This window comes from Homo sapiens, chromosome 3 (genome assembly GCF_000001405.40).
Source record: "Homo sapiens chromosome 3, GRCh38.p14 Primary Assembly".
Lineage (NCBI taxonomy): Eukaryota > Metazoa > Chordata > Mammalia > Primates > Hominidae > Homo > Homo sapiens.
Window position 1 is genome coordinate 51,621,829 of NC_000003.12, and position 27,021 is coordinate 51,648,849.

General features: G+C 45.9%; 1 protein-coding gene across 6 annotated transcripts in view; it reads left to right on the forward strand.

Annotated features, from left to right (window-relative positions):
* The window catches only part of RAD54L2 (RAD54 like 2), a 129,942-nt gene that overhangs the window by 83,110 nt on the left and 19,811 nt on the right, over positions 1-27,021 (forward strand). For 4 of the 6 annotated variants that reach the window (NM_001322253.2, NM_015106.4, NM_001322256.2 and 1 more), the window contains 16 exons: positions 5,725-5,926; positions 7,506-7,645; positions 8,444-8,560; positions 8,877-9,103; positions 11,749-11,931; positions 12,074-12,207; positions 13,765-13,961; positions 15,333-15,675; positions 16,316-16,493; positions 17,591-17,842; positions 18,053-18,171; positions 19,921-20,039; positions 22,047-22,146; positions 23,196-23,401; positions 23,763-23,935; positions 24,457-24,653. In NM_001322253.2, coding sequence (NP_001309182.1) covers positions 5,725-5,926; positions 7,506-7,645; positions 8,444-8,560; positions 8,877-9,103; positions 11,749-11,931; positions 12,074-12,207; positions 13,765-13,961; positions 15,333-15,675; positions 16,316-16,493; positions 17,591-17,842; positions 18,053-18,171; positions 19,921-20,039; positions 22,047-22,146; positions 23,196-23,401; positions 23,763-23,935; positions 24,457-24,653 — 2,887 coding nt within the window. The remainder of the gene's footprint in view (positions 1-5,724; positions 5,927-7,505; positions 7,646-8,443; positions 8,561-8,876; positions 9,104-11,748; positions 11,932-12,073; positions 12,208-13,764; positions 13,962-15,332; positions 15,676-16,315; positions 16,494-17,590; positions 17,843-18,052; positions 18,172-19,920; positions 20,040-22,046; positions 22,147-23,195; positions 23,402-23,762; positions 23,936-24,456; positions 24,654-27,021) is intronic. The other 2 variants (NM_001387866.1, NM_001387867.1) reach the window with 2 other exon arrangements.

A 27,021-nucleotide genomic window follows, 5' to 3' on the forward strand; every position in this document is an offset into this window, starting at 1 on the left:
TCAAGTGTAGTCGGTATGTTGTAGGCCAAGTTGCAGTATTGGTGGAAGTAGTCATTTAGCAGTAGATATCCTCTCTTGGGGAGTCTGCTGCCCAGCCAACTGTTTGGGATGAGGAATTTGATGGCCTCCCCTTTTAGGAGGGAAGAATTCAGGGCTGTGAAGTAGGAAGAAGTTGACAGCAGTATTATGTGAAAATGCTGTGGAAGTGTTAGGTCTTTGGAGGGGTAGAGGGCCAGAAAGAATGATAGTTCTTTTAAAGGAAAACAGGGAATTGCTGAACTTGCTCAAATCTGATGTTTCAGGTGGAAATTGGAGAGCACTGTTTGAAGAGGTTAGTGAATTTGAGAGGGTAGCTAGTCACACTTGGAGCTCTACTTTGAAACTTCTCTTTTAGTTCTCATGTCTGGCTGGGCACATAAGCAATGGCCCTTTGTTTCCTCAGCAGGTAGAACATGTCCATGAACCAAGGCTCACACACGCAGTACATTCCTAGTGCTGCTTGCCACCCTAGCCTCTGCTTTCTTTGGGAGGCTTTTTGTAATAGGCCTATTACAGACCGGTGGTAATGGAGAAAGGAGTGTGACATTTTAACCTCTTGTTTATGTTAATGGTATTGCAGTGTCCCATCATGAGCATTTCTTGTCTGATGCCTTTCTTGACCATTTCTCCTTTGCTTTTTGAAAAGCAAAAGCTGTCTACCCGAAACCGTCTCTCAGTTGAGGGCCAAGGAAGTTGCTGCCAGTGCTGCTGCAGGGGAGTGAATCATCCTGGGCATCCACATGCGAGACCCACCCATCTGTCCACTTTTACAGTAATCACATTAGTCTCCCATGTCCACCCAAACACCAGGGCAGTGGAAAGTAGAATGCCAGGAAGGAGAGGGTTGGGAGTAGTCTTACCCAGGACAGGGGTTGACTTCTGTACCAGCATCCAGAGAAGGATCTTGGATCCTCACCTAAGTCTCCCTTGGATGAGGAGCTCCAGGAAGGGGACAGGAAAGTGGTTGTTGGGTTGGAAGGTCCTTCTTGTTGCTGCTTTACTTCCTTCATTTTAGCTGGTGCCTACCCATTCTGTTATTTCAAACCCAGGTCTCGCTCTTCCCAAGGAAGCGCCCCAATGCCCAGCCAGTAAGGCTGGATTTGGTGTTTTTTCCTCAAGTGTTACTGCTCTTGGGCACTTTCCATATAGCATATGTGTTTCCCCATGTGGTCTATTCCACTGTGCCTTGGCACAGGGCCTGGAACCTAGCAGATGTTCATATGTGTGTTGGGCTAAATTGAAAGCAGGGAGCAGGAGAGGCAACAGTGGCTGGTTTGTAGTAGTCTCACGTGGAGAGGTTTAACATGAAAGTGTAGTCTACAATTTCATCGAGGCAGTATGTGTGTGTAAGAAACATTCATTTTGTGACAACAAGATGCAGTTTGCACATGTCATTTCTGCTTCCCCCTTTGCTTTCTTATTTCTGATCTTTGATTGGGAAATATAATTGAGATTTGAATTCTCTACACAAATGTCATCACTCAGCATGTCTGACCAAGGCCCCCAAGCTTTGCATGCTCCCAGACCATTCAATGTAGTTGGGAGTATGGAATTCCACGGAGTTAGGCAGATAAGGGTTTGAAGAATAGTATCTTCCACAAGATAACCATTGACATCCCTATTTTGCAGATGTGGGAACTGTGGCTCAGAGAAGTTGCATCCATAAACATAGAGCTACAGGATTTAAAGCCAGTACTGCCTAAATGCAAAGCTCATACTTTTAACTGCCTGCTCCTGTTTTTCTGCTTATTTCTTATATACCCATGGGCAAATATTTATAACTTCTCAGGGCTTCAATGTCTCATATTTAGAATTAGGGGAGCAAAGGCTGGGTATGGGGGCTCATGCCTGTAATCCCAGCACTTTGGGAGGCTGAGGCGGGTGGATCACGAGGTCAGGAGATCGAGACCATCCTGGCTAACACGGTGAAACCCCATCTCTACTAAAAATACAAAAAAAATTAGCCGGGCATGGTGGTGGGCACCTGTAGTCCCAGCTACTTGGGAGGTGGAGGCAGGAGAATGGTGTGAATCTGGGAGGTGGAGCTTACAGTGATCCGAGATTGCGCCACACTGCAGTCCAGCCTGGGTGACACAGCGAGACTCCGTCTCACAAAAAAAAAAAAAAAAAAAAAGAATTTAGGGGAGCAAAAATTCTCATATTTAGAATTAGGGGAGCAAAAGTCTCGTAGAGTTATTATAAGGGAGAAAGGAGGTAATGTAAAAAACAATCCATACCTCATACCTGGAATAGTAGTAGTCATAGTAAAAGCAGCAGCTGTTTTTTGTTTGTTTGTTTGTTTTTTAAATATAGTGTTTACTATGTGGCAGACATTGTTTTAGTTCTTTCTTTCTGGTGTGTGTGGTTTTTTTTTTTTTTTTTTTAGACAGGGTCTTGCTCTGTTGCCCGGGCTGGAGTACAGTGAGTGGCGTGGTCATGGCTCACTGCAGCCTCCACCTCCCAAGCTTAAGCAATCCTCCTGCCTTAGCCTCTTGAGTAGCTGGGACTACAAGCACAAGTGCATGACACCATGCTCATTTTAATTTAATTTAGTTTATTTTCTTTCTTTTTTTTGAGAGATGGGGTTTTGCTATGTTGCCCAGGCTGGTCTCAAACTCCTGGGCTCAAGCAATTCCCTGACCATGGCCTCCCAGAGTGCTGGGATTACAGGCGTGAGCCACACTTGGCCTGTTTTAGTTCTTAATTTAGGCTATCTTATAAAATCATCACCACAACCCTTAGAGGTTACTACAATTGTTCTCCTCCAGTCCGTTTTTAAACATGAACAGAAAGATATAATAACGGGCATAGCTGGAGTTCACACTCCATCAGTCTGGCTCCAGTGTCCTTACTGAACCCCTATGCCATGTTAACTTGTGGCAAACATTAGTTTTGAACTTCATGCTGTTCTAGAATCTGGCATCAACATGAAAGGGACCATAAGGAAACTGGAGTAGTAATATGACAAGGAGGAGGCCATACCAAGCTATGGAAGGTGAGCAGTAACATGGATACTCACAATTCCCTGATTCAGCCAGTGAGTGGTAAGACAGCCCATATGTTATTTCTTAGTGGTGGCTGAGTGCATAGGATGATGACCCATGGTACATCATTCTTTTGGCCTAGGGAACATCAGCTTACAGGTTCATTCATCAAGACTTAATGACAGCCCCACCTCTCTTTACCAAAGGCTCTCAGGTTGAATGTTTCTTACCCCAAAGACACTTGACTACATACTCATAGAAAAAAAGTTGAATAAATAAATGGGAGGCCGGGCACAGTGGCTCACTCCTGTAATCCCAGCACTTTGGGAGGCTGAAGTGGGTGGATCACTTGAGGTCGGGAGTTCGAGACCACCCTGACCAACGTGGAGAAACCCCATCTCTACTAAAAATACAAAATTAGCTGGGCGTGGTGGCACGTGCCTGTAATCCCAGCTACTCGGGAGGCTGAGGCAGGAGAATCGCTTGAACCCGGGAGGCGGAGGTTGAGGTGAGCTGAGATCGTGTCATTGTATTCCAGCCTGGGCAACAAGAGTGAAACTCCATCTCAACCAATCAATCAATAAATAGGACAATTCTTCCCTACAGAAAAATTCCAAATAATAAATGTAGAAGGAAAGAGGAAAATAGAAAACCACCATTAACATACCACAGTAATAATTGGCTCTAGGTAAGACCCACCGATGAACATTAAAATTAGTGGGTGAGGCTTGGTGCAGTGGCTCATGCCTATACTCCAAGCACATTGGGAATGTGAGGCAGAAGGATCACTTGAGGCCAGGAGTTTGAAACCAGCCTGGCCAACATATCGAGACCTTGTCTCTACAAAAAAGAAAAAAAAAATTAGCTGGGTGTGATGGCATGCACCTGTAGTCCCAGCTACCTGAGAGGCTGAGGCTGGGAGATCGTTTGAGTCCAGGAGTTTGAGGCTACAGTGAGGTATGATTGTGCCACTGTACTGCAGCCTGGGCATCAGAGCAAGACCCTATCTCTTACAAAAAAAAAATAGTGTTAAAGGTCATGAGAGACCAGAATAGACTGAGAAGCTGCCATAGTTTAGAGGAGACTAAGGTGACATGACAGCTAAATGCAACATAGTATCCTGGATGGGGTCCTGTAACAGAAAAAAGGATATTAATGGAAAACTGGTGAAATCCCAATAAAGTCTATAGTTAAAAGCAAACAATAAGCCACCAGCCCTCCAACCCCGCCGACCCCACCAAAAAAAAACAACCAAAAAAACCCCACAAAGTTCCTGGGTCCTTCCTGCCTGAGATCCAAATGGCATTGTCTAGAGCACCTCAGTTCTGGCATTTATATTCTAGTTCTGAATTCTTGTTACCTTTGGGAAAGACCTTTTGGTTGTGTAGTGCCTGTGTCTGGGAGGCTCTGATGAATTTGGGGACAGGCTTGTGGTCTATGTGACTCTCAAAGCCTGCCTACCCAGTGAACAGAATGCTACTCAGCAGGCTGAGGACAGGGGTATGCACATGGATCCGCCTACTCCAACCCCAGTCCTTGCTGGTATTGGATGTTACAAATGACATCCCCTGGACCCCCAACGATCTTTTTTTTTTTTTTTTTTTTTTTTTTAAGAGGGAGTCTCATTATGTCGCCCAGGCTGGAGTGCAATGGTGTGATCTTGGCTCACTGCAACCTCCGCCTCCTGGGTTCAATTGATGCTCCTGCCTTAGCCTCCCGAGTAGCTGGGATTACAGGCGCCCGCCACCATGCCTGGCTAATTTTTGTATTTTTAGTAGAGACTGGGTTTTGCCGTGTTTGCCAGGCTGGTCTCGAACTCCTGACCTCAGGTGATCCTCCCGCCTCAGCCTATCAAAGAGTTGGGATTACAGGCATGAGCCACCGCGCCCAGCCCCCAACTATCTTTTAAGGCATTACCTTTAGACATTCTGCTTATCTTTCAAGGCCTGACTCACATTTTACCTCCCATATAGTTCCTTCATGATCATTACATGTATTAGTATCTTTCAAATTCCTGTGATGTCTTCAACCTTAAAGTTCTTTATATCTGTTGATCTGCCCTTCCTGTGATATATAGCACACCTTGCCATGTTGAGTCTGTGTTTGTACATGCCCTGTCTCCCTAAGCAGAACACAAACTTCTTGAAGGGAAGGAGTCTTACAAAACCTTCTAAACTTCATGAGGGGAAGGAATCTTACAAATATCCCTTGAAGCGTCTAGGATATTGCTTGCCATAAGCCCTCATGAAATGATTGGCAAGTTTGAGTGAGTGAATGCTTTAAGACAGATGAGAGGTGAATGGACTTGCTTAGAGTCATACCACTGGGTATGAGCTATATTTGGAGCCTAGCTGCTCAGTTTGTCCCTTTCTGAGCATTCTGAGGCCATGAAACTTACTAACTCTGATCATAGCACTAAACTACAGTAATAGTGATGGCTATCATTTGTTGTGGGCTTACTCTGGGCCAGGCTTGGTTCTAGGCATGCACGCTATGCAGTCCTCACAATAGCTCTGAGGTATGGGCCTCACTATCCTCATTTTGTAGATACATCCACTGATGTTCAGAGAGATATAAAGAATTTGCCTTAGATTACCAGCTAATAAGTTGCTGAGTTGAGATTTGAACCCAGGTGTGTCTGTCATCCAGACTCATTCCCCCTCACCCCTATAAAGCAATGTCTTTCCCCTTGTTTTTTCAGACCCATCCCTGGAAGGCATGTGTGGCACTGAGCATGCCCAGTTGGGAGAAGATGGGCAGCAGCCGCCGCGGTGCACTTCAACTACCTCATCTCAGTCTGAGCCTTCAGAGCAGCTTAGGCGCCACCAAGGCAAGAACCTAGCCTCCGAGGACCCCAAAAAGAAGAGAGCTCAGAAGCCCTCCCACATGAGAAGAAACATACGGTGAGCTGTGCTCTGTGTAAGAGGAGAGGGAAAGGAATAGAGATTTTACCTTCATCTTAAGGCTGTCAATAGCAAAAAGACTGATTTGGGAAGGACAGTTCTCTCTCCAAAGGAGAAAAGTGTCAGGTGTGTGTCTTCATTAATAGTGAAGGTGCAGCTCAGGATCACTGGACTTGGGCATTCAGAGGACTGTAGGGAGAATGAGAAAGGCCTTGACCACTGCTGGAGGGTCTTCTACTCTCTGGAGGCCCCAGGTGGCAGCCCGAAGATGATAGGGTGCTCTGAGCTGGACTTTCCGGTTTTTCCTCTATTTTTCCTTTTGTCTCAAAACAAGAGGAGACTTTATAAAGTTGAGTTCTCATCTTCTTAGACGTCAACTTCAAATGGTAGAGGACTGTCTGACCCAAAGCAAGACTCCTTCTAAGAGCAAAAATGTGAACTTCTTTAACTATCCAAATCCCCAACAGTTCTTCCTTCCATCAAATAACAATGCGTGCCATTGAAAAGAAATGAATGATATCTTTTTCTCCTCCTGCCTCCACTTAAAAAAAAAAATAACGACAACTTGAAATATTACTCTGAGTTTGAAAATAATATAGAATCCCTGTAACCCTAGTTTCTTTTCTTTTCTTAATTTATTTATTTATTTTTTTTGAGATAAAGTCTCTCTCTGTTGCCCAGGCTGGAGTGCAGTGGCGTGATCTTGGCTCACTGTACCCCCACCTCCCGTGTTCTAGCGGTTCTTGTGCTTCAACCTCCTGAGTAGCTGGAACCATAGGTGCCCGCCACCACACCTGGCTAATTTTTGTATTTGTAGTAGAGACAGGGTTTTGCCACGTTGGCTGAACTGGTCTTGAACTCCTGGCTTCAAGTGAACTGCCCACCTTCGCCTCCCAAAGTGCTGGGATTTCAGGCATGAGCCACTGTGCCCGGCCAATCCTAATTTCTTTTCTACATGACAACACTATTTTTTTTTCTTGAGATGAAGCCTCACTCTGTCACCCAGGCTGGAGTACAGTGGTGCAGTCTTGGCTCATTGCAACCTCTGCCTCCCAGGTTCAAGCGATTCTCCTGCCTCAGCCTCCTGAGTAGCTGGGACTACAGGTGTGCACCACCACACCTGGCTAATTTTTGTATTTTTAGTAGAGACGGGGTTTTGCCGTGTTAGCCAGACTGGTCTCGAACTCCTGACCTCAGGTGATCCACCTGCCTCAGCCTCCCAAAGTGCTGGGATTACAGGCGTGAACCACCACACCTGGCCAACAACACTATTTTTAATACTGCTTTTCAGCTTTGTGAATCAAATATTACTCTAGTTTATTCTTGATCTGTTATGTGGAGAGATGAGTTGGCAGGTCGGGGAGTTAAATAATATAGAAAGTATTAGCCTAGAGCCATCTGAGTTTGATATCCTGTTTTTTGAATGCTGCTCCTTGCATGGGTATGGTGGGGCTGATGTGGCTTCTCCTTCTCCCGCCTCGACTCTGAGATCATCAATGGCTATTTCTCTCTTTAGCTTGCCATTACATTGCCCAAATCTTAATTGAACCCAAGTGCTGTCTCTTATGTGAATGTTTAGAAAGCTACTCCGGGAGGATCAATTGGAGCCTGTTACCAAAGCAGCACAGCAAGAAGAGTTGGAAAGAAGGAAGCGCCTGGAGCAGCAGAGGAAAGATTATGCAGCCCCTATTCCTACTGTTCCGCTGGAGTTCCTCCCTGGTAAGCAGTGGACATGGCAGGGAAGGCCCTTTGCTTCAGGAGGAAGAAGCCCTAGGTGCACACAGTGGTCAAAAGCAGATCTGGAATAAGACTGTGGCCTCTCGGCTGGGCGCGGTGGCTCACGCCTGTAATCCCAGCATTATGGGAGGCTGAGGCAGATGGATTGCCTGAGTTCAGGAGTTCGAGACCAGTCTGGCCAACATGGTGAAACCCCGTCTCTACTAAAAATACAAAAAAAAATTAGCCGGGCGTGGTGGCGTGAGCCTGTAATCCCAGCTACTAGGAGGCTGAGGCAGGGGGAATAGCTTGAACCAGGGAGGTGGAGGTTGCAGGGAGCTGAGACTGCGCCACTGTACTCCAGCCTAGGTGACAGAGTGAGACTCTATCTCAAAAAAATAAAAATAAAAATAAAAATAATTGTGGCCTCTCAGGAATCCTTTAAAGTCATTCAGCTTCTTGAGAGCACACAATCAGAAGAAGATCATTTAAAAAGCTAAAATGAATAAAAATGTACTCTTTAAATAGGTTTTATCTAGATTTTTCCTCATAACTTTGGATTTTAACTTACCAAAGGATTGGGACCTTTTCTGGTGGTCAGGTGGATAGCAGGAAGGAAAAACCAGTAGAGAAAGGGAATTTGGAAGGAGGGCTGAGGTTTTTGAGATGGGCTCTGCTTCTCTTCTCAGTGGATACTCCCCATGAGAGCTATAAAAGAAAAGGGGTGGTGAATTGTTTTGGGAAATATGTTAGAGCCAAATGTGGTCTTGACACCGTTCCCTTCCATTTTGCTTTTCCTAGAGGAAATTGCTTTAAGGGCAAGTGACGGTCCCCAACTGCCTCCTCGGGTCTTGGCCCAGGAAGTCATTTGTTTGGACAGTAGCAGTGGCAGTGAGGATGAAAAAAGCAGTCGAGATGGTAAGATCAAACCAGGTGCCTCCCTTTCTTCCGACCTGGTGTTCATGCTGAGATCGGCTATACTTTGAAAAGAGTCCAGTCCTTCCTCCTTCAATTTGGGATGTGGCTTTGACTAATTTCCCTGTGTCTCCTTGGTAAATATAAGTTTTTTGCTTGTCTTAACTTGAAGCTGAAAGAGAGAAATAGTAAAAGTCAAAATTTTAATAAGTGTTGACAAGTTCTAACTTTAAGTTTCTGTAGTCTTCTGCTCTGACTGTGTGCAGTAAATTATCTTCACTCCCTGGATTTTTGGTTTTGCTTTTTTTTGCTGTCTCAGAGGTGATTGAACTGAGCTCTGGAGAGGAGGACACTCTGCACATTGTGGACAGCAGTGAATCTGTCAGTGAAGATGATGAGGAAGAAGAGAAGGGTGGCACCCATGTCAATGATGTCTTAAACCAGCGTGACGCCCTTGGGCGGGTCCTTGTCAACCTAAACCACCCTCCAGAGGAGGAAAATGTCTTCCTTGCCCCACAGTTGGCACGGGCTGTGAAACCTCATCAGGTACAGCAAACCTTGACTGTTTTCTCCTTTTCCTTTTTGTTTCCTTGTTGTGAACATTGCCTGCTGGTGGTTATTAGCGTCACAGCCTGTGAAGTACTTGTTTGGTACCAAGAGCAGCTTGTTCAGCTGTTGGAAAGACCTGATACTTCCTTCTAGCAGTTGATGTTTCAGGATTCCTGATGAATAGGAAGGGACAGGGAAAGGGAAGAGACAAGCTTCAGGTTTGCCCTACTCCGTAGAAAGCACTGGATCTCTTGACCTAATAATTTGAGCCTCTTTCTGTGGGATCCCATGACTGAGGTGCTCTCTGGTGAGCAGTGCTTTGATTAGGAAGGTCTGGATCTAGAAGAGATGTGAGAGTCAGAAGATGGGGGGACTTTCTGGTATGAGGGAGTAGAGTAGTTTGTGTTGATCCAGAGCCTGGAACCAGGACTAGTGAGTAGAAGTACCATGAAGACAGACATTGACTCAGTTTACGATTAAGAACTCTTTTTTTTTTTTTTTTTTCTCCTGAGACAGGGTCTTGCTCTGTTTCTCAGGCTGGGACTATAGGCCTATACCACCACACCCAGCCAATTTTTTTTTTTTTTTTTGTAGAGATGAGGTTTCGCCACGTTGCCCAAGCTGATCTTGAACTCCTGAGCTCAAGCGATCCACCTGCCTCAGCCTCCCAAAGTGCTGGGATAACAGGCCTAAGCCATTGTGCCTGGCTGAAAACTCTTTGTTTTTGAGACAGGCTCTTGCTCTGTCGCCCAGGCTGGAGTGCAGTGATCACGACTCACTGCAGCCTTCACTCCCTGGGCTCAGGTGATCCTCCACCTCAGCCTAAGTAGCTGGGACTACAGCCTCATGCCACCATGCCCAACTAATTTTTAATTTTTTTGTAGAGACGAGGTCTCACTATGTTGCCTAGTCCGGTTTTGAAGTCCTGAGCTCAAGCAGTCCTCCTGCCTTGGCCTCCCAAAGTGTTAGGATTACAGGCGTGAGCCACCATGCCTGACCTGTCTAACTGTATTTTTGTACCCATTAACCAACGTCTCTTCCTCCCCCTCCTCTCCCTTCTCAGCCTCTGGTAATTACCATTCTATTTTCTACTTCCATGAGATCAACTTTTTTAGTTCTCCCACATGAGTGAGAATGTGTGATATTTGTCTTTCTGTGCCTGGCGGGTTTCATTTAACATAATGACCTCCAGTTCCATCCATGTTGCTGCAAATGACAGGATTTCATTTTTCGTGGCTGAATAATATTCCATTGTGCATAGGCACCACATTTTCTTTATCCTTTCTTCCACTGATAGACACTTGGGTTGATTACGTATTTTGGCTATTGTGCATAACTCAGCTTAAAAACTCTTCTGTTGTTGTTGTTGTTGTTGTTGAGACGAAGTCTCACTCTGTAGCCCAGGCTGGAGTGCAGTGGCACAATCTCGGCTCACTCCAATCTCCGCCTCCCAGGCTCAAGCGATTCTCCTGCCTCAGCCTCCCAAGTAGCTGGGATTACAGTTGTGCACCACTGCACCCGGCTAATTGTTTGTATTTTTAGTAGAGCCGGGGTTTCACCATGTTCACCAGGATGGTCTTGAACTCCCAACCTCAGGTAATCTGCACACCTTGGCCTCCCAAAGCGCCAGGATTACAGGCACGAGCCACCATGCCTGGCCTGTTAAAGAGTTCTTAAGGCTGGGCACGATGGCTCGTGCCTGTAATCCTGGCGCTTTGGGAGGCCGAGGTGGGTGGATCACCAGGGCAGGAGATTGAGACCATCCTGGCCAACATGGTGAAACCCCGTCTCTACTAAAAATACAAAAATTAGGTGGGCATGGTGGTGCATACCTGTAGTCCCAGCTACTCTGGAGGCTGAGGCAGGAGAATCACTTGAACCGGGGAAATGGGAGGTTGCACTGAGCTGAGATTGCGCCTTTGCACTCCAGCTTGGGTGACGGAGCAAGACTCCGTCTCAAAAAAAAAAAAAAGAACTCTTAGCAATAGGGACTACTTCTATGTGGCTGGGCACAGTGGCTCATGCCTGTAATCCTAGCACTTTGAGAGACCGAGGGGGGCAGGTCACCTGAGGTCAGGAGTTCAAGACCAGCCTGGGCAACATGGTGAAACCCTGTCTCCACTGAAAATACAAAAATTAGCTGGGCATGGTGGCGCATGCCTGTAATCCCAGTTACTCTGGAGGCTGAGGCAAGAGAATCGCTTGAACCCGGGAGGCAGAGGTTGCAGTGAGTTGAGATAGCACCACTGCACTCCAGCCTGGGTGACAGAGCCAGACTCTGTCTCAAAAACAACAACAAAAACAAACTACTCCTATGGAATGGGCTGCCTTAAGAGGGTGAGCTTTCCAATGCTGAGGGAAGCCAAGCTGACTGAAAGATCCTGTCAGGAATTTGACACTACCGATTCATGCATTACATGGGGTGTTACACTGTACTAGTGAATCCTTTTCTGTTTTTTCCAAGAGGACTGTCACCAGCAAATAGATCAGTCAAGGTACAGGGAATCTTCTATGGCCATCCACACCTGCTATCTATTATAACGCCTTCTCACTTACTTAATTCTTACTAATTACAAAGTGAGTAAAAACTGGAGCCCTCATCTTTGTGAGCCCCTCTGACATTTGTCTTTGTCCCTTGTCAGATTGGCGGGATCCGGTTCCTTTACGATAACCTAGTGGAGTCTCTGGAGAGGTTTAAGACCAGCAGTGGCTTTGGCTGTATTCTGGCCCACAGCATGGGTCTGGGGAAAACTTTGCAAGTGATCTCTTTCATCGACGTCCTCTTCCGCCACACGCCAGCCAAAACAGTCCTTGCCATTGTGCCGGTAAGAGTTTTTGGGAAGGCACCACTTAAGTCACTCCTGAAGAGCTCTGTGTTAATGCCTTTACTGGGCACCAAAAAGCTTGATGAGCTCAGCTCTGAGTTTGTTCCATAAAACTCTCTTTTTGGACTTGGCTTTCTAATAGGTTAATACTCTTCAGAATTGGCTGGCAGAGTTCAACATGTGGCTTCCACCTCCTGAAGCCCTCCCGGCTGACAACAAGCCTGAAGAAGTCCAGCCTCGGTTCTTTAAAGTTCACATCTTGAATGATGAGCACAAGTAGGTGGCCTGCCCTTTCCTCTCTGCCCCTTTCCTTTTAGACTTCTGTCCGTGATCTGATGTTAAGGCAGTCTCTTTGAGTGTGTAGCCTGTGCATCTAGATTTGTTTTTGGTTTCCTGATGTATCACTTTCTCTGTTCTTGCTACTCATTTTTTTCTCTACCTAGCTTTTCAGGAAAGCCAGAGTTAAGTAGCCTGAGAAATTTCCTGTGTTCTGCTTTAGGAGGCTTTTATATCTTGAAAAATATGTGGGCATGGTCATATTTTCCCATGCATATCGTAGTAAAATTCAACACGAAACAATGGATCTTTCCACTGTCTGATTTTTTTTTTTTTTTTTTTTTTTTTTTTTGAGACGGAGTCTTGTTCTGTCACCCAGGCTGGAGTGCAGTGGTGCAATCTCAGTTCACTGCAACCTCTGCTTCCCAGGTTCAAGTGATTCTCCTGCCTCAGCCTCCCGAGTAGCTGGGATTACAGGCACCCATCACCATGTCCGACTAATTTTTGTATTTTTAGTAGAGACAGGGTTTTGCCATGTTGGCCAGGCTGGTCTCGAACTCCTGACCTCAGGTGATCCGCCCACCTTGTCCTCCCAGAGTGTTGGGATTACAGGCGTAAGCCACCATGCCTGGTCTCTACTGTCTAATTTTTTACTTATTACATTTCACTTTTCTTAAAAACCTAATCATTAGTCACTTCTTTTAAGCACTGGTCTGCAATTGACCTTTAATGGTACAACTCCCAAAGCTTTGAAAGGTGTCAGCCTTGCTTTGTTTTAGATTTAAATAAAATTATCTATATATGTATGCCATAAAGTCAACCTGATTTCCAAAAGTCTAAAGCTATTTCTTGATCCAACAAACCAGCTCTACATGCTAACCTTTCCCCTCATTGGTGTGGATAATTGAGAAAGTAGACTTTACTATATTTTTTTCAGAGGGTGCCTTTTGTGATGTTTGGACACACACATAAAAATGAGGAGATGATTAGTTGACCTCACAGGTGGTTGCTCATTCAGGACTTTTAGTCCACATGCAATCAGTGAAATACAGTGAGTGCTCCGGTGTTTGGAAGTGGAGTGACTTACTGAGGGTCATCTGGTCTCTTCTCCTCTTTCCTCTTTACTGTTTGTGGCTCTTTATTCACTTGAGTCCAGGCAAGTAAACTGCAGAATGTTGCCCTTCCTTCTGTGACCTTGTATTTATCATGGGATTGAAATGCTCCTTCAAATGTTGAGTTGTAGTCATGCCTGAATATCCAAGGGGGTTGTCATTTTCTCTTGCCTTATGTAGTTGAATTGCTATGTTTCTTGCTGTTTAACCACCATCAATGATCCAGTTCATCCTGAGTGCAATTAGTTTCTCTGGGATGATGGGAGGTTCTTGGGTGGTAGGCTACCCCTGTGCTTGCTGCCACATGAAATCTTTGGTAATAAGAAGTTCTGAATGTACATCAACACAGCTTTGATTGTGAGCAATTCTTCCTTGGGAGCAGCAGAAACAATAATTCTTGAGATATAATTCACATCTCACACAATTTTCTCTGTTCATCTTGCAGGACGATGGCATCTCGTGCTAAAGTGATGGCTGATTGGGTGTCAGAGGGTGGCGTGCTGCTGATGGGGTACGAGATGTACAGACTCCTCACTCTGAAGAAATCATTTGCCACAGGTAGACCGAAGAAAACCAAGAAGCGTTCTCACCCAGTCATCATTGATCTAGATGAGGAAGATCGGCAGCAGGAGTTTCGGAGAGGTGGGCAGCCTATCCCAGGAATACTCTTGTTGGTGTTTCAGGAAAAAAGAAATCATGTCTACTAATAGCACCTAGTCAGATGTAAAGTGCATTATTGATGTGAATTGTTATCATGGACCAAAAATCCTGGTTCCCAAGATCAGTAGGATGACTTCCAATGGCTCTGAGAAGGTACTGCTTTCTCTGCCAGCTGTGCAGTTATGGTTAGGCCAGGCCACACACTGGCTTGGGGGAGATTCCTCTGTTCGTCTATCCCTGTTTCTCTTACAGAACAGTTGGAATAGTAACCATTTCCTTTACCACTTTCTAGAGATGTTCTGAGAAAGCATGAAGAAAATATAAAGTGTTTAAATCACTAATATAAAGACAAAGTAGTAATACTATTGTTTGTGAATTTATAAAAAAGAATTTATCCCAGTTGTTTTTAGTGAAAACCATTCCTGTCATAGTTCTAATTCTACTCCATCTTCTAAGGGGCCTTTGCTCATTTGGGGAAGAATGTTTTTAAGGGTTCAGAGGCCATTTCACTTTAGAAGTCTCTTCATCTATGAGATTATGTTTGTTCTAGGTTTGCTTCTATGGTAGAGCTGGGATGAATTTGCCATTTAGCAATGACTGGAAAATAACTGCGGGAAGACCCTGTCCTTTAGCTAGCTCCTACCAGCCAGCCCTCAGATGGAGTCAAGACGCTGGCAATGGTGAGAGCCTACTAAAGTGTCTGGATTATTCCTATTGGTTTCATCCAGGTGCATTTTTAATCCTAGGCTGGCACTCTGTAAGGTCCCTCTCTCTGCTGCCCAGTTGGTCTAAGCCCTAGGAATGCAAGTCAGTTATACTTTTCACATAAAGAAAAATAAAGTAAGGAAAGGAACGGAACGGGGGAAAGGGATATTTATTGCAAGAGTCAACTGCCAGAGGCAGATCATGAGGTCAGGAGTTCGAGACCAGCCTGGCCAACATGGTGAAACACCATCTCTACTAAAAATACAAAAAATTAGCCAGGCATGGTGGCGCATGCCTCTAATCCCAGCTACTTGGGAGGCTGAGGCAGGAGAATCGCTTGAACCCGGGAGGCAGAGGTTGCAGTGAGCGGAGATTGCGCCACTGCACTCCAGCCTGGACGACAGTGTGAGACTCTGTCTCAAAAAAGAAAAAAAAAGAGTCAACTGCCAGATTAGCATTCATACCAAGTCATACCAGTCATATCCAGGAGCTTGAATGGCTGGCACCCTCTCACCAAGGGGGGCTGACTCTTGCTTTCCTGCTTCCTTCATTTCTTCTGTCTCCTCCAGGGTGCACCCCTACTTCTCATATTATTGACTAAGAGCAGGCCCTGTCACCCTCTGACTCCGGATCCTCTTCCCTCCCTAGAGTTTGAGAAGGCTTTATGCCGCCCTGGCCCTGATGTAGTAATCTGTGATGAGGGACACCGCATCAAAAACTGCCAGGCCAGCACCTCACAGGCTCTGAAGAATATCCGCTCTCGCCGCCGGGTGGTGCTGACTGGGTACCCTCTGCAAAACAACCTCATTGAGTACTGGTGCATGGTGGACTTTGTGCGCCCAGACTTCCTTGGCACCCGGCAGGAGTTCAGCAACATGTTTGAACGCCCTATCCTGAATGGGCAATGTATTGACAGCACACCTCAGGACGTCCGCCTCATGCGGTACCGGAGCCATGTCCTGCACAGTCTTCTGGAGGGCTTTGTGCAGAGGTGAGCCATCCTCAGGGTCCTGCTTCCTGAATTTTCAGAGGGCCCTGTTGCCAAGGGCATGCCAAACCTGTTATACAGGATAGGGTGTTGGAGTAGGAGGGCCCCTTCCCTGGGGCAGTAGTAAAACTTTGCTTCCTGTGACAAGCTAGCAGATGGTGGATATCCACTGTTTCAGTTCTCTGAAAGTTTGGCCTAGAAGTGCTTCTCTCAAAAGTTATCTTTAAAGGTACTGGAGACACCTGTCTTACTTGCTGAGAGAAGCAAGAAAAAGGTACCATTCTGCTGACTTACCTTAGGCTAGTCTAAAGCAGACCCCTCATTTTTCCTTGTTGAGATGGCATATGGAGCGAAAGCTCAGAGAGGCAGCCCAAATTAAAGTAAGAACCTCAAGTTCCCCTGTCTCTGTCATGCAGTCAGACTTGACCTGGGACAGGTCACTCTGCCTCTTAGTGTTAGTTTTCATCCTTAAGGTGAGTTTCTTCTTGGTTGTTGAACCACTCTGCATTATTGCAAGGCTGCAGTGCATGTTGAGATCCTCAAGAGGGAGGTGTGGCAGGAGTGCAAAAGGCTCTGTTTTTATCTTGTGCTGACCCCTCCTGGCCACACTACCTTGCCGTTTCTGTTCTGTTTGCCTCCATAGGAGAGGCCACACTGTGCTGAAGATTCATCTCCCTGCCAAGGAAGAAAATGTGATCCTTGTGCGGCTCTCCAAGATCCAGCGAGATTTGTATACACAGTTCATGGATCGCTTCCGGGACTGTGGTAGCAGCGGTTGGCTGGGGCTGAACCCCCTTAAGGCATTCTGTGTGTGTTGCAAGGTGCATTGGGGCCTCAGGGAAGATTGAGATGGGGACTAAGGATACACATGGTCCCAAGGGAGTTACTCCTACTGAGAGTCTTCAATAAAGGGAGAATAAAGTGAGAGGGGGCCACCTCAGTTCACTGCACTGGAGGTTTGGGGGCTCCAAGGAGAGAGGTGATGGTTTTGTACCACATAACTCCTGGGGGTGCCATTCACACAGTGTAATATAACTGATGCCCCCTGCAGTGTGCAACTCAGCTGCACAACTTGTTATTCCAAGGGGATTAATGGAAAAATACTGTGGGGCAGCGTTTTTGACTGCTAGCATAATCAGAATTCAAGAGATATATAGCTTAGACAAGTTATTAGGGGTACCTTCCATTGGATTCCATACTTAATCAGATTGAGACCTCTCTCATTCTTTTCTTGAGGGACCTGTTTCATTGACTTCATACCTCTACCCCTGGCTACTCTTCAGCAGACCTGTTAGGTATTATTCTTAATTGACCACTGCTTTAATAAGTCAGCAGAAGGTATGTGTCTGGGGACAAGAGGGGTTTCCAAATATTTCTTTTATAGCCACAGTCCTGGGTCAAGGCCAGGAAACTAAGGCAAGCGTGGTCTGTGATGATGCTTTGGTATCACTGCATCCTTCCTTCTTCCTTTCCTCTCTTCTCCTGGGAGTTCTCAACTCTTGCTAGGAATACTCTGTGAAATGATATGTGATTGGTCTACTATAAGTCAGATACATTTTGTCTATAGTTTTATACAGTAGCAGACTGTAGCCACACTGTGAAACTGGAACATTCTTACTCTTATTTGAATAAGAATGTCAAAAAGGCTTGTGACAGCTTTTTTGATTATGTATCAAACATACTTACTGGCATGGCTCCTGGTATGCATGCTGCCATTCATGTGTCATGGTGACCAGAACTGATAATCAAAACAAATATGCAGGCCCTTTGGCTGTGAAGGGCTCTGACTTTAATTTTTGGTGTGACAGTGTTTATTGTGGGACGTGTGTGTTTGAGCAAGTATGTGTTTCCAGACTCCCTGGGACACCCTTGGAATGTTTTTTGTCCTGTGTCTCCTCTCCCTTTCCTTGAACCTCAGATCTGGAATCACCCTGATGTGCTGTATGAAGCCCTTCAGAAGGAGAGCTTGGCCAATGAGCAGGACCTAGACGTGGAAGAACTTGGCTCTGCAGGGACCAGTGCCCGCTGTCCACCACAGGGAACAAAAGGCAAGGGAGAGGATAGCACCTTGGCTTCCTCGATGGGAGAGGCAACCAATAGCAAGTTCCTACAGGGCGTTGGCTTCAACCCTTTCCAGGAGCGAGGCAACAACATTGTCACATATGAATGGGTGAGTCAAGCAGATCCTTCAGGAACCATAAACTATTGCTGAGAAGGGATGGTGCAAGCCCTGCCTGGGGAAGGGGTAGGGATGCATGGCTAGGGTCTCTGTATGGAATTATAAAGGTGGCCAGTGAGCTGCTGCCTTGGAAGGAAATAATTTTATTTCTAGTGATCTGGCCTTGGACCTGCTCTAAGCTGCCTTGTTTCTCTCTTGCAGGCCAAGGACCTTCTGACTAATTACCAGACTGGAGTCCTAGAAAACTCTCCCAAGATGGTACTGCTTTTCCACCTGATTGAGGAAAGTGTGAAGCTTGGGGACAAGATCCTTGTGTTTAGGTAGGATGAGAAACTTCCATTTGAGGCTGTGTGTCTATGGTAAAGAATGACAAAACCACCACAGAGCAAGACCAAGACCACCCCCGCCTCCCCCAAGTGCTATTGTGAGGACCTTCTTGCATGTTGTCTGTCTCTTGGAGTTTCTTTCATTGCCCAATTTGATTTCTCCACAGAGAACAATTTAGAACCCTAGGTTAGCACTGGAGTCTAATCTTTCAAATTCTGGCCTGTTTTTGTTTACTTTGAGAGCTAAGGATAGTTTTTACATTTTTAAAAGGTTATAAAAAACATACAAAGAATATGCAGCAGAGGTTCTATGTGGCCAAGAAAGCCTAAACTATTTGCTATCTGTCCTTTTACAGAAAATGTTTGCTGACCCTTGGTTTAATCTTCTATCCCGCCCCAACCTTTTATTTTAGTTTTAAGCTTTGTCTTTAAAGCCAAATAAGTGATGTAGTTTGCTCCGGAGTTATATTCTCAGTCTGGCTAGAGCTTTGAGTCTCATTAAGGCTTGACTCCCCAGGAAAACAAAGTTGATTGCTTCTCCTTCTTTATAATCTGACCAGATTATGCTCCAAGAAGAGCCAAGTGGCAGGAGCCTGGCTCAGGAGCCTCAGAGTGAGGGCTTCCACATGTGACACACTTTGAGAGGACAGCAGTGATTTTAGCTTGGGGAGAGCCTAGTGTTGATTTTATGGATCACTTCTAAGGACACTGGCTCTCATGGTATCTTGGAAGCAGTCGAGTGATTTTGTCTCTCTAGTAAAACCCATAATCATATCTGATGTATATTCATGCAGTGGTAGTGTTTAGTGCTGAATGCTATTTGTTACTCTGCATTGAGCTAAACCCCAGAAATTTTCAGCTGTGGAAGTGAAGAATGAAGAGAGTATTTTTTCAGTGTGGTGGTAGTCGTAAGTATGTGGATGACTCTGCTCCCATTATACGCTAGGAAGGATACCCTTGGTTGTTCTTGGTATAGTTACCTCTTTCTGTTTCTTTTTCTTTTTCTTTTTTTTTGAGATGGAGTTTCACTCTTCCTGCCCAGGCTGGAGTGCAGTGGTGTGATCTTGGCTCACTGCATCTTCCACTTCCCAGGTTCAAACGATTCTCCTGCTTCAGCCTCCTGAGTAGCTGGGACCACAGGCACGTGCCACCATGCCAGGCTAATTATTTTTGGATTTTTAGTAGAGATGGGGTTTCATCATGTTGGCCAGATTGGTCTCGAACTCCTGACCTCAGGTGATCCGCCCGCCTCGGCCTCCCAAGTGCTGGGATTACAGGCGTGAGCCACTGTTCCCGACCTAGAGTTACCCCCTTTTTTTTTTTTTTCTCCTGAGACAGAGTTTCACTCTTGTTGCCCAGGCTGGAGTGCAATGGCGTGATCCTGCACTACAGCCTCCGCCTCCTGGGTTCAAGTGATTCTCCTGCCTTAGCCTCCCAAATAGCTGGGATTACAGGCGTGTGCCACCACACCCAGCTAATTTTTGTATTTTTAGTACAGACGGGGTTTTGCCATGTTGGCTAGGCTGGTCTGGAACTCCTGACCTTAGGTGATCCACCCGCCTCGGCCTCCCAAAGTGCTGGGATTATAGGCTTGAGCCACCGTGCCCAACCTAGAGTTACCTCTTTTCAGTGGTAGGTTGTGGGAGCTCCCATTGTCAGAAAGTTGCACAAGAGTATGGACCTATTGGGAACAATGTTCCCTCAATTCTGGGAGCCATCTGAACGAAATGTTTTCTGTTTCAGCCAGAGTCTTTCCACCTTGGCTCTCATCGAGGAATTCCTTGGAAAACGAGAAGTACCCTGTCCACCTGGTACCGAGGGGCAAGGAGCACAGAAGTGGGTTCGAAACATCAGCTACTTCCGTGAGTTCATTGTTGCGTTGTTCTTGAAGCCTTGGCAAGGTCTGCTTAAGGGTTTCCTTTCCTTCTCTCTCTTTCTCTTTCTCCACTCCATCAAATGCATAGGAATATTTGTGATTAGTCAAGGAGCAGGGGGATACTAAGAGCCAGCTGTTGTTTACAAGGTACTGTACTAGGGGCTGGGGGATTGAGAGAGTTGGGAGAGTGTAGAGAAATAGAAGCCATAGTCCTTCTCTTCATCTGAGATGTGACAATTCAAGAACAATTGAGTGCCCCTAACTGGGGTTCTAAGGAGGATAGAATCACTGTGGTGAGGATGATTAGCTAAGGTGTCTCAAAAATGGGGAGGATTTGAATACACAGGGCTAGTGTTGCCTGAGGATCATTCCAGGCTGAAAGATCAGAGTGAACACAAGCCTAGATCATGCATTCTCTGTTGGGGAGATAATACTTTAAGGGGATGAACTTTTTTTTTTTTTTTTTGAGCAGGGGGTGGAAATCTTAACTTTTAAAATGTGTAAGTCAAGTACATACAGTACGTAAACAGATATACAGTTTATCTGTGGTATTAAATTTCATGAAGGACATAGTGTCATTGGGAAAAAAAAAGTCATTCCTTAGTGGGGTGGTAATGAAAAAAAAGTTGAGAAATACAGACCTCAGCACTGCTGACATTTGGGCCAGATAATTCTTTGTTATAAGGGGCTGTCCTGTATATTATACGACATTTAGTAGCATGCTTGGTTTCTACTCACTAGATGGCAGTAGTATCTCTCAGTTTTGACAACCAAAAATATCTCCAGACATTGCAAAATGTCCCGTGGGGAGTGGGAGTATGGAGAAATTGCCCTCATTGAGAACCACTGCCCTAATAGAAGGATTTAGAGAACTGGAGGTTCAGGGAGTAGCAAGAAGACCCCCAGCACAAGGTGTGGCTCAGAGCTTGCCCTATGAATCAGTGGTGAGCTGTGTTTGGGAACTGTTTGAACTCAGGTTGGAAAAGTAGGTTGGGGTCCTGACATAGAACCCCAGTACCAAGCAATTAAACTGTTGCTTCCTACAACAGTAGTAATTCAGTTTTCCATGTGGTATTTCATGCCCTTAGCTTTACCATTTACTCAAGATGACAAGTGTTGCCATTACTATTTATGCTTCTTAACTGAAGTCTTTTTTTTTTTTTTTTTTTTTTGAGACGAAGTCTTACTCTTTTGCCAGGCTGGAGTGCAGTGGCGTGATCTTGGCTGAACTGCAGCCTCCGTCTCCCAGGTTCAAGTGATTCTCCTGCCTCAGCCTCCCAAGTACTGGGACTACAGGCACAGGCCACCATGCCCAGCTAATTTTTGTATTTTTAGTAGAGACGGGGTTTCACCATGTGGGTCAGGATGGTCTCGATCTCTTGACCTCGTGATCTGCACGCCTTGGCCTCCCAAACTGTTGGGATTACAGGCGTGAGCCACTGTGCCCGGCCCTAAAGCCTATTTTTTCTCCCTCTTTGGAGCTTCCCTCCTTTCATTCATGTGTTCCATCCTACTGTTCCAGATGTATTTCCTTTATGTCTCTTTACAGCAAGTTCTTAGCTTCAGGAGCTGGTTAAAAATGCAGATTCCTGGTGGAGGAACATCATCCATATCAAAACCCTTAGTCCTGCACTCACCAGGACTCACAAGGCTGAGGCAGAGAGGTCACCTTGAGCCAGTATTTTCCAAATTCCCTAGGTGATTACTATACATTCCGAAGTCTAGGATTCTTGGCTTTAGAATTGACCTAAGATAGTAAAGGGGAGAAATGTAGTTTATAATCCATGGTGCATGTGAGAATCACCTGGGGGTATTTTCAAATTATAGATGCCTGGGCCTTACTTACTGTAGACCCATGATACGTCCAAGGGGTGAGATCTGAGCACTGTTGTATTTCTATTTGTTTTGCTCTTTAAAACATATTTGCCCAGTGATTTTGCTGTATATCCTTGCTCTAATATATCCACTGCTTATGGTTTTCCTTCCTTCCTAGGGCTAGATGGTAGCACCCCTGCCTTTGAGAGGGAGCGGCTTATTAATCAGTTCAATGATCCCAGCAACCTCACCACCTGGCTGTTCCTTCTCTCTACAAGGTGAGTGGATCCCAAGAGGGGAGGTCAAAGGAATCTGTTCAGGCAGTTGGCCACCTGGGCTGGTACCCCAAAACTCCAAGTTCCCTCAGAAGAGATCAGCTCAGGTTTGTAACTTGTTTCTGGGGTCAGAGAGGGAACTTCAAAAGGAAATTAGGTTAGCAGGGCAGTCATGATAGTATCATAAAATTTTTTGAGACCTTCATTAACAATGGTTGTGGCTCATGCCTGTAACCCCAGCACTTTGGGAGGCCAAGGTGGGAGGATTGCTTGAACCCAGGGGTTCAAGATACTGAGACCTTGTCTGTACAAAAAATCAAACAATTAGCTGAGTGTGGTGGCATGCACCTGTGGTCCCAGCTACTTGGGAGGCAGAGGCGGGAGGATGGCTTGAGTCTGAGAGGTCGAAGCTGCAGTGAGCTGTGATTGAGCCACTGCAATCCAGCCTAAGCGACAGAGTGAGACCCTGTCTCATTTAAAAACAAACAAACAAATGAACAACAACAACAAAATACCCAAGAGTTTTAATTAGCTTTTCTCTCAGGAGTGTTATGAGGCTTAGATGATGTGATGAATATGAAAGTGCTTTAAAAAGTAGAAAGTGCAAGGTGACTGTAAAAGGCTGATGGTATTGTCTCATGCCAAGCAGCTTGAAGGCTGTGCTGCCTTCTGCCATCGTAATGCCCTTGGCAGGATGTAAGCCAGTCATTCCCCTAAGCTGTTAGACTAAAAATAGTGGAAACATCTGTGTGCAGAAGTTTCCCCTCACCAAGGAACATCCCTCCAAGGCCAGGATGCGGGGGCCTTACTTGTTACAGAGGAGAGTGAGTTTTGTTTCTGAGCTGGTAGACACTTTCATGTTGGATTTCAGGGCACAATTTTCAGTGCTTGAGGAATGTACTGTTTATCAGCAGGACAGCAAAATCCTTGAGTATGTTGTACTTAGGGCTTAGGACAGAGTAATATTGGGGTAGAAGTCACAGAGGGCAAAACTGATTTGAAAACCTTTTTTAAGACTAAAGGCTCTGTGATTGTTGGCTTGTCTTTTAAAGGGCCGGATGCTTGGGTGTGAATCTGATTGGTGCCAACCGAGTGGTGGTGTTTGATGCTTCCTGGAACCCTTGCCATGATGCCCAGGCAGTATGTCGGGTATACCGTTATGGCCAGAAAAAGCCCTGTTACATCTATCGCCTTGTGGCTGATTACACTCTAGAAAAGAAGATCTATGACCGTCAGATTTCCAAGCAGGGCATGTCAGGTGGGCCATCTTCCAGACTTCGGAGAGGCACATCTATACAGGCTACCATCCTTTTAGTATCAAGGGTGGGAGAGGAGCAGGATATGGGAACACAGGCAGGCTTCGAGAAAGCCAGCATTTCCTCCTATCTCATTCTGATTCAAATTGCTTAAAAGGTAATTGACCTCAACTTGTTGAAGGTGAGTTTAATGATAACAGCCAAGCTCGTTATACAAGTTTTCCCCTTATATGATGTTTCCAGTGTCACCAGCACCTCAGACCTAGTCTTTGACTTTCAGATATGGGATGACTTTTCATTATTAGTGACCTTTACAGTTTTTAATGCCATGTGCTGACTTTCTTCATGTCTTTATCCTTCTAGATCGGGTGGTGGATGATCTAAATCCAATGCTGAACTTCACACGGAAAGAGGTGGAAAACCTACTGCACTTTGTTGAGAAGGAGCCAGCTCCCCAAGTTTCCTTGAACGTAAAGGGGATCAAGGAGTCAGTCCTGCAACTGGCCTGTCTGAAGTACCCTCACCTCATCACCAAGGTAAGAACTTGGTATGCATGCAATCCCCAGAGTGGCAGTCTCTCTGTCAAAGGAGGCTTGTCTTGTAAGCTTTTTTCTTCATCTGAGGTGATGTTTCATGCAGGTGACTTGGACTCAAGGACTTCTTTTTCTTGCCCCACTCAGTCCCCCTCCCTTCCCACAACCACTTACCCCGTCCTCTAATCTGGTCCTGGGAGTGCTAAGGTTAGCCATGTATAGTAATTTGGCCAGTGAGTCTTCTTAGCAGAAAGAGAGGGGGAAAGTTCTAAAAATGTAGTTTGTTAATTCTCTGAACTCCCCCATTCTTTTGATAGGGAAGGCAGACTTAGATGTCTAAAGCTGGTACTAGGTTAGAGCTATAAATTGTACTCTTGACAGAAAGACAGTAAACCTGCCTGTGTATCTCTGAGCAGTCTCTTCGCTAGTGCTGGAGACAGCCAGCTCTTTTCTTGGTCCTAAAGTAAGGCTCATTATCTATCAGCCATGTTGGTAACTAAATCAACATCCTCCTGTGTCCCCAGGAGCCTTTCGAGCATGAGTCATTGCTCTTGAACCGAAAGGATCACAAGCTAACCAAGGCTGAGAAAAAAGCAGCAAAGAAAAGCTATGAGGAAGACAAACGCACATCAGTCCCCTATACCCGCCCATCGTATGCGCAGTATTACCCTGCCAGCGATCAGAGCCTGACCAGCATCCCCGCCTTCAGCCAGAGAAACTGGTGAGTTGCTGAAAGGGGAGGGTCTGCTGCTGGGCCAGGCACAAACACCTTTCAACTTGTTCATATTTTAAATAAAGGCAGAGCCTACAACTTGTTCCTTGACTGCTGTGAATTGACAGGCTCTGCTCTAGGGTAGGTGTGAAAGCAGTTCAGTAGCCCTGGTGTTTTAAATGGTTCTGGTTTTGACTGCCCTAGCTGGAAAAGTGAGCTGCTGGCCCGTGACCCAGGAGAGTCTTTCTGGACACCTGGGTAGGAGACGGGGATAAAGCTTCCCAGAAAGAGGCCCAGCCATTCCACACAGGTGCATCTGACCCCTAGCACCTTAGTCCTAGGCCTCACTTAGAAGTGGTGTTCAAGGATGAAGGCTCTGTTCCCTTGGATTACAGTCAGGGAATCCTGCTGCTCCTAAGGGGATTCCATTCTGTGTCTGTGCCATGATCTGGAACCAAAAAATCTCTTTTTTGAGTATAACATCTAGACTTGTTCAGAATATTAACAGAATAGAAGCCAAGTGCTAAGCAGTGAGAGAGGCTCCTTGTAAGATATTATAGAACAGTTATCTAGGTTTAATTTTTTTTTTTTAATTTCAAGACAGTGCCTCACAGCTCTCACCCTCCACTTACTGATCAGATCTGCTACCTGATTCAGTAGTTTGCATTTTTAATTATTTGATTATCTTGAATTAAAAATAATTATTTTATTTGATGGGAACAGATTTAAATTTTCTCTTTCTTTTTTTGTGACAGGGTGTCACTCTGTTGCCTAGGCTGGAGTGCAGTGGTGCGATCACAGCTTCCTGCAGCCTCGACCTGCTGGGCTCAGGTGATCCTCACACCTCAGCCTCCCAAGTAGCTGGGATTACAGGTGTGCATCACCATGCCTGGCTAATTAAAAAAACTTTTTTGGCTGGGCACAGTGGCTCACGCCTGTAATCCCAGCAATTTGGGAGGTCTAGGCGGGCAGATCACCTGAGGTCGGGAGTTCAAAATCAGCTTTTCCAACATGGAGAAACCCCCATCTCTACTAAAAATACAAAAATTAGCCAGGTGTGGTGCTGTGTGCCTGTAATCCCAGCTACTCGGGAGGCTGAGGCAGGAGAATTGCTTGAATCTGGGAGGCAGAGGTTGTGGTGAGCCGAGATCGCGCCATTGCACTTCAGCCTGGGCAACAAGAGCAAAACTCCGTCTCAAAAAAAAATTTTTTTTTCTTTTAGTCGAGATGAGGTCTCACTATGTTGCTCAGACTGGTCTTGAACTCCTGGGCTCAAGTGATCCTTCCATATCAGCCTCCCAAAATGTTGTCATTACAGGTGTGAGCCACCATGCCCAGCCTAAAATTTTTTTCCTTACTAAGACTCTCATGTTAAAAACAAACAAGCTGCAGCTCCCACTGTGATCGACACAGAAGACAGGTGATTTCTGCATTTCCAACTGAGGTACCTGATTCATCTCACTGGGACTGGTTAGACAATGGGTGCAGCCCACAGAGGGCGAGCCGAAGCAGGGTGGGGCATCACGTCACCTGGGAAGCTCAAGGGGTCTGGGGATTTTCCTTTCCTAGCCAAGGGAAGCCATGACAGACTGTACCTGGAAAATCGGGACACTGCCACCCAAATACTGCGCTTTTCCAACGGTCTTAGCAAACGGCACACCAGGAGATTATATCCCGCACCTGTCTCAGTGGGTCCCACACCCACGGAGCCTTGCTCACTGCTAGTGCAGCAGTCCAAGATCAAACTGCAAGGCAGCAGCCTGGCTGGGGGAGAGGTGTCTGCCATTGCTGAGGCTTGAGTAGGTAAACAAAGCAGCCCAGAAGCTCCAACTGGGTGGAGCCCACTGTAGCTCAACCAGGCCTGCCTGCCTCTGTAGATTCCACCTCTGGGGGCAGGGCATAGCTGAACAAAAGGCAGCAGAAACTTCTGCAGACTTAAATGTTCCCCGTCTGACAGCTCTGAAGAGAGCAGTGGTTCTCCCAGCACGAAGTTTGAGCTCTGAGAATGGACAGTCTGCCTCCTCAAGTGGGTCCCTGACCCCCATGTAGCCTAACTGGGAGACACTTCCCAGTAGGGGCCGACTGACACCTCATACAGCCGGGTGCCCCTCTGAGACGAAGCTTCCAGAGGAAGGATCAGGCAGCAATATTTGCTGTTCTGCAGCCTCTGCTGGTGATACTCAGGCAAACAGGGTTTGGAGTGGACCTCCAGCAAACTCCAACAGACCTGCAGCTGAGGGACCTGACTGTTAGAAGGAAAACTACAGAAAGGAATAGCATCAACATCAACAGAAAGGACATCAACACCAAAACCCCATCTGTAGGTCACCATCATCAAAGACCAAAGGTAGATAAAACCACAAAGATGGGGAGAAAC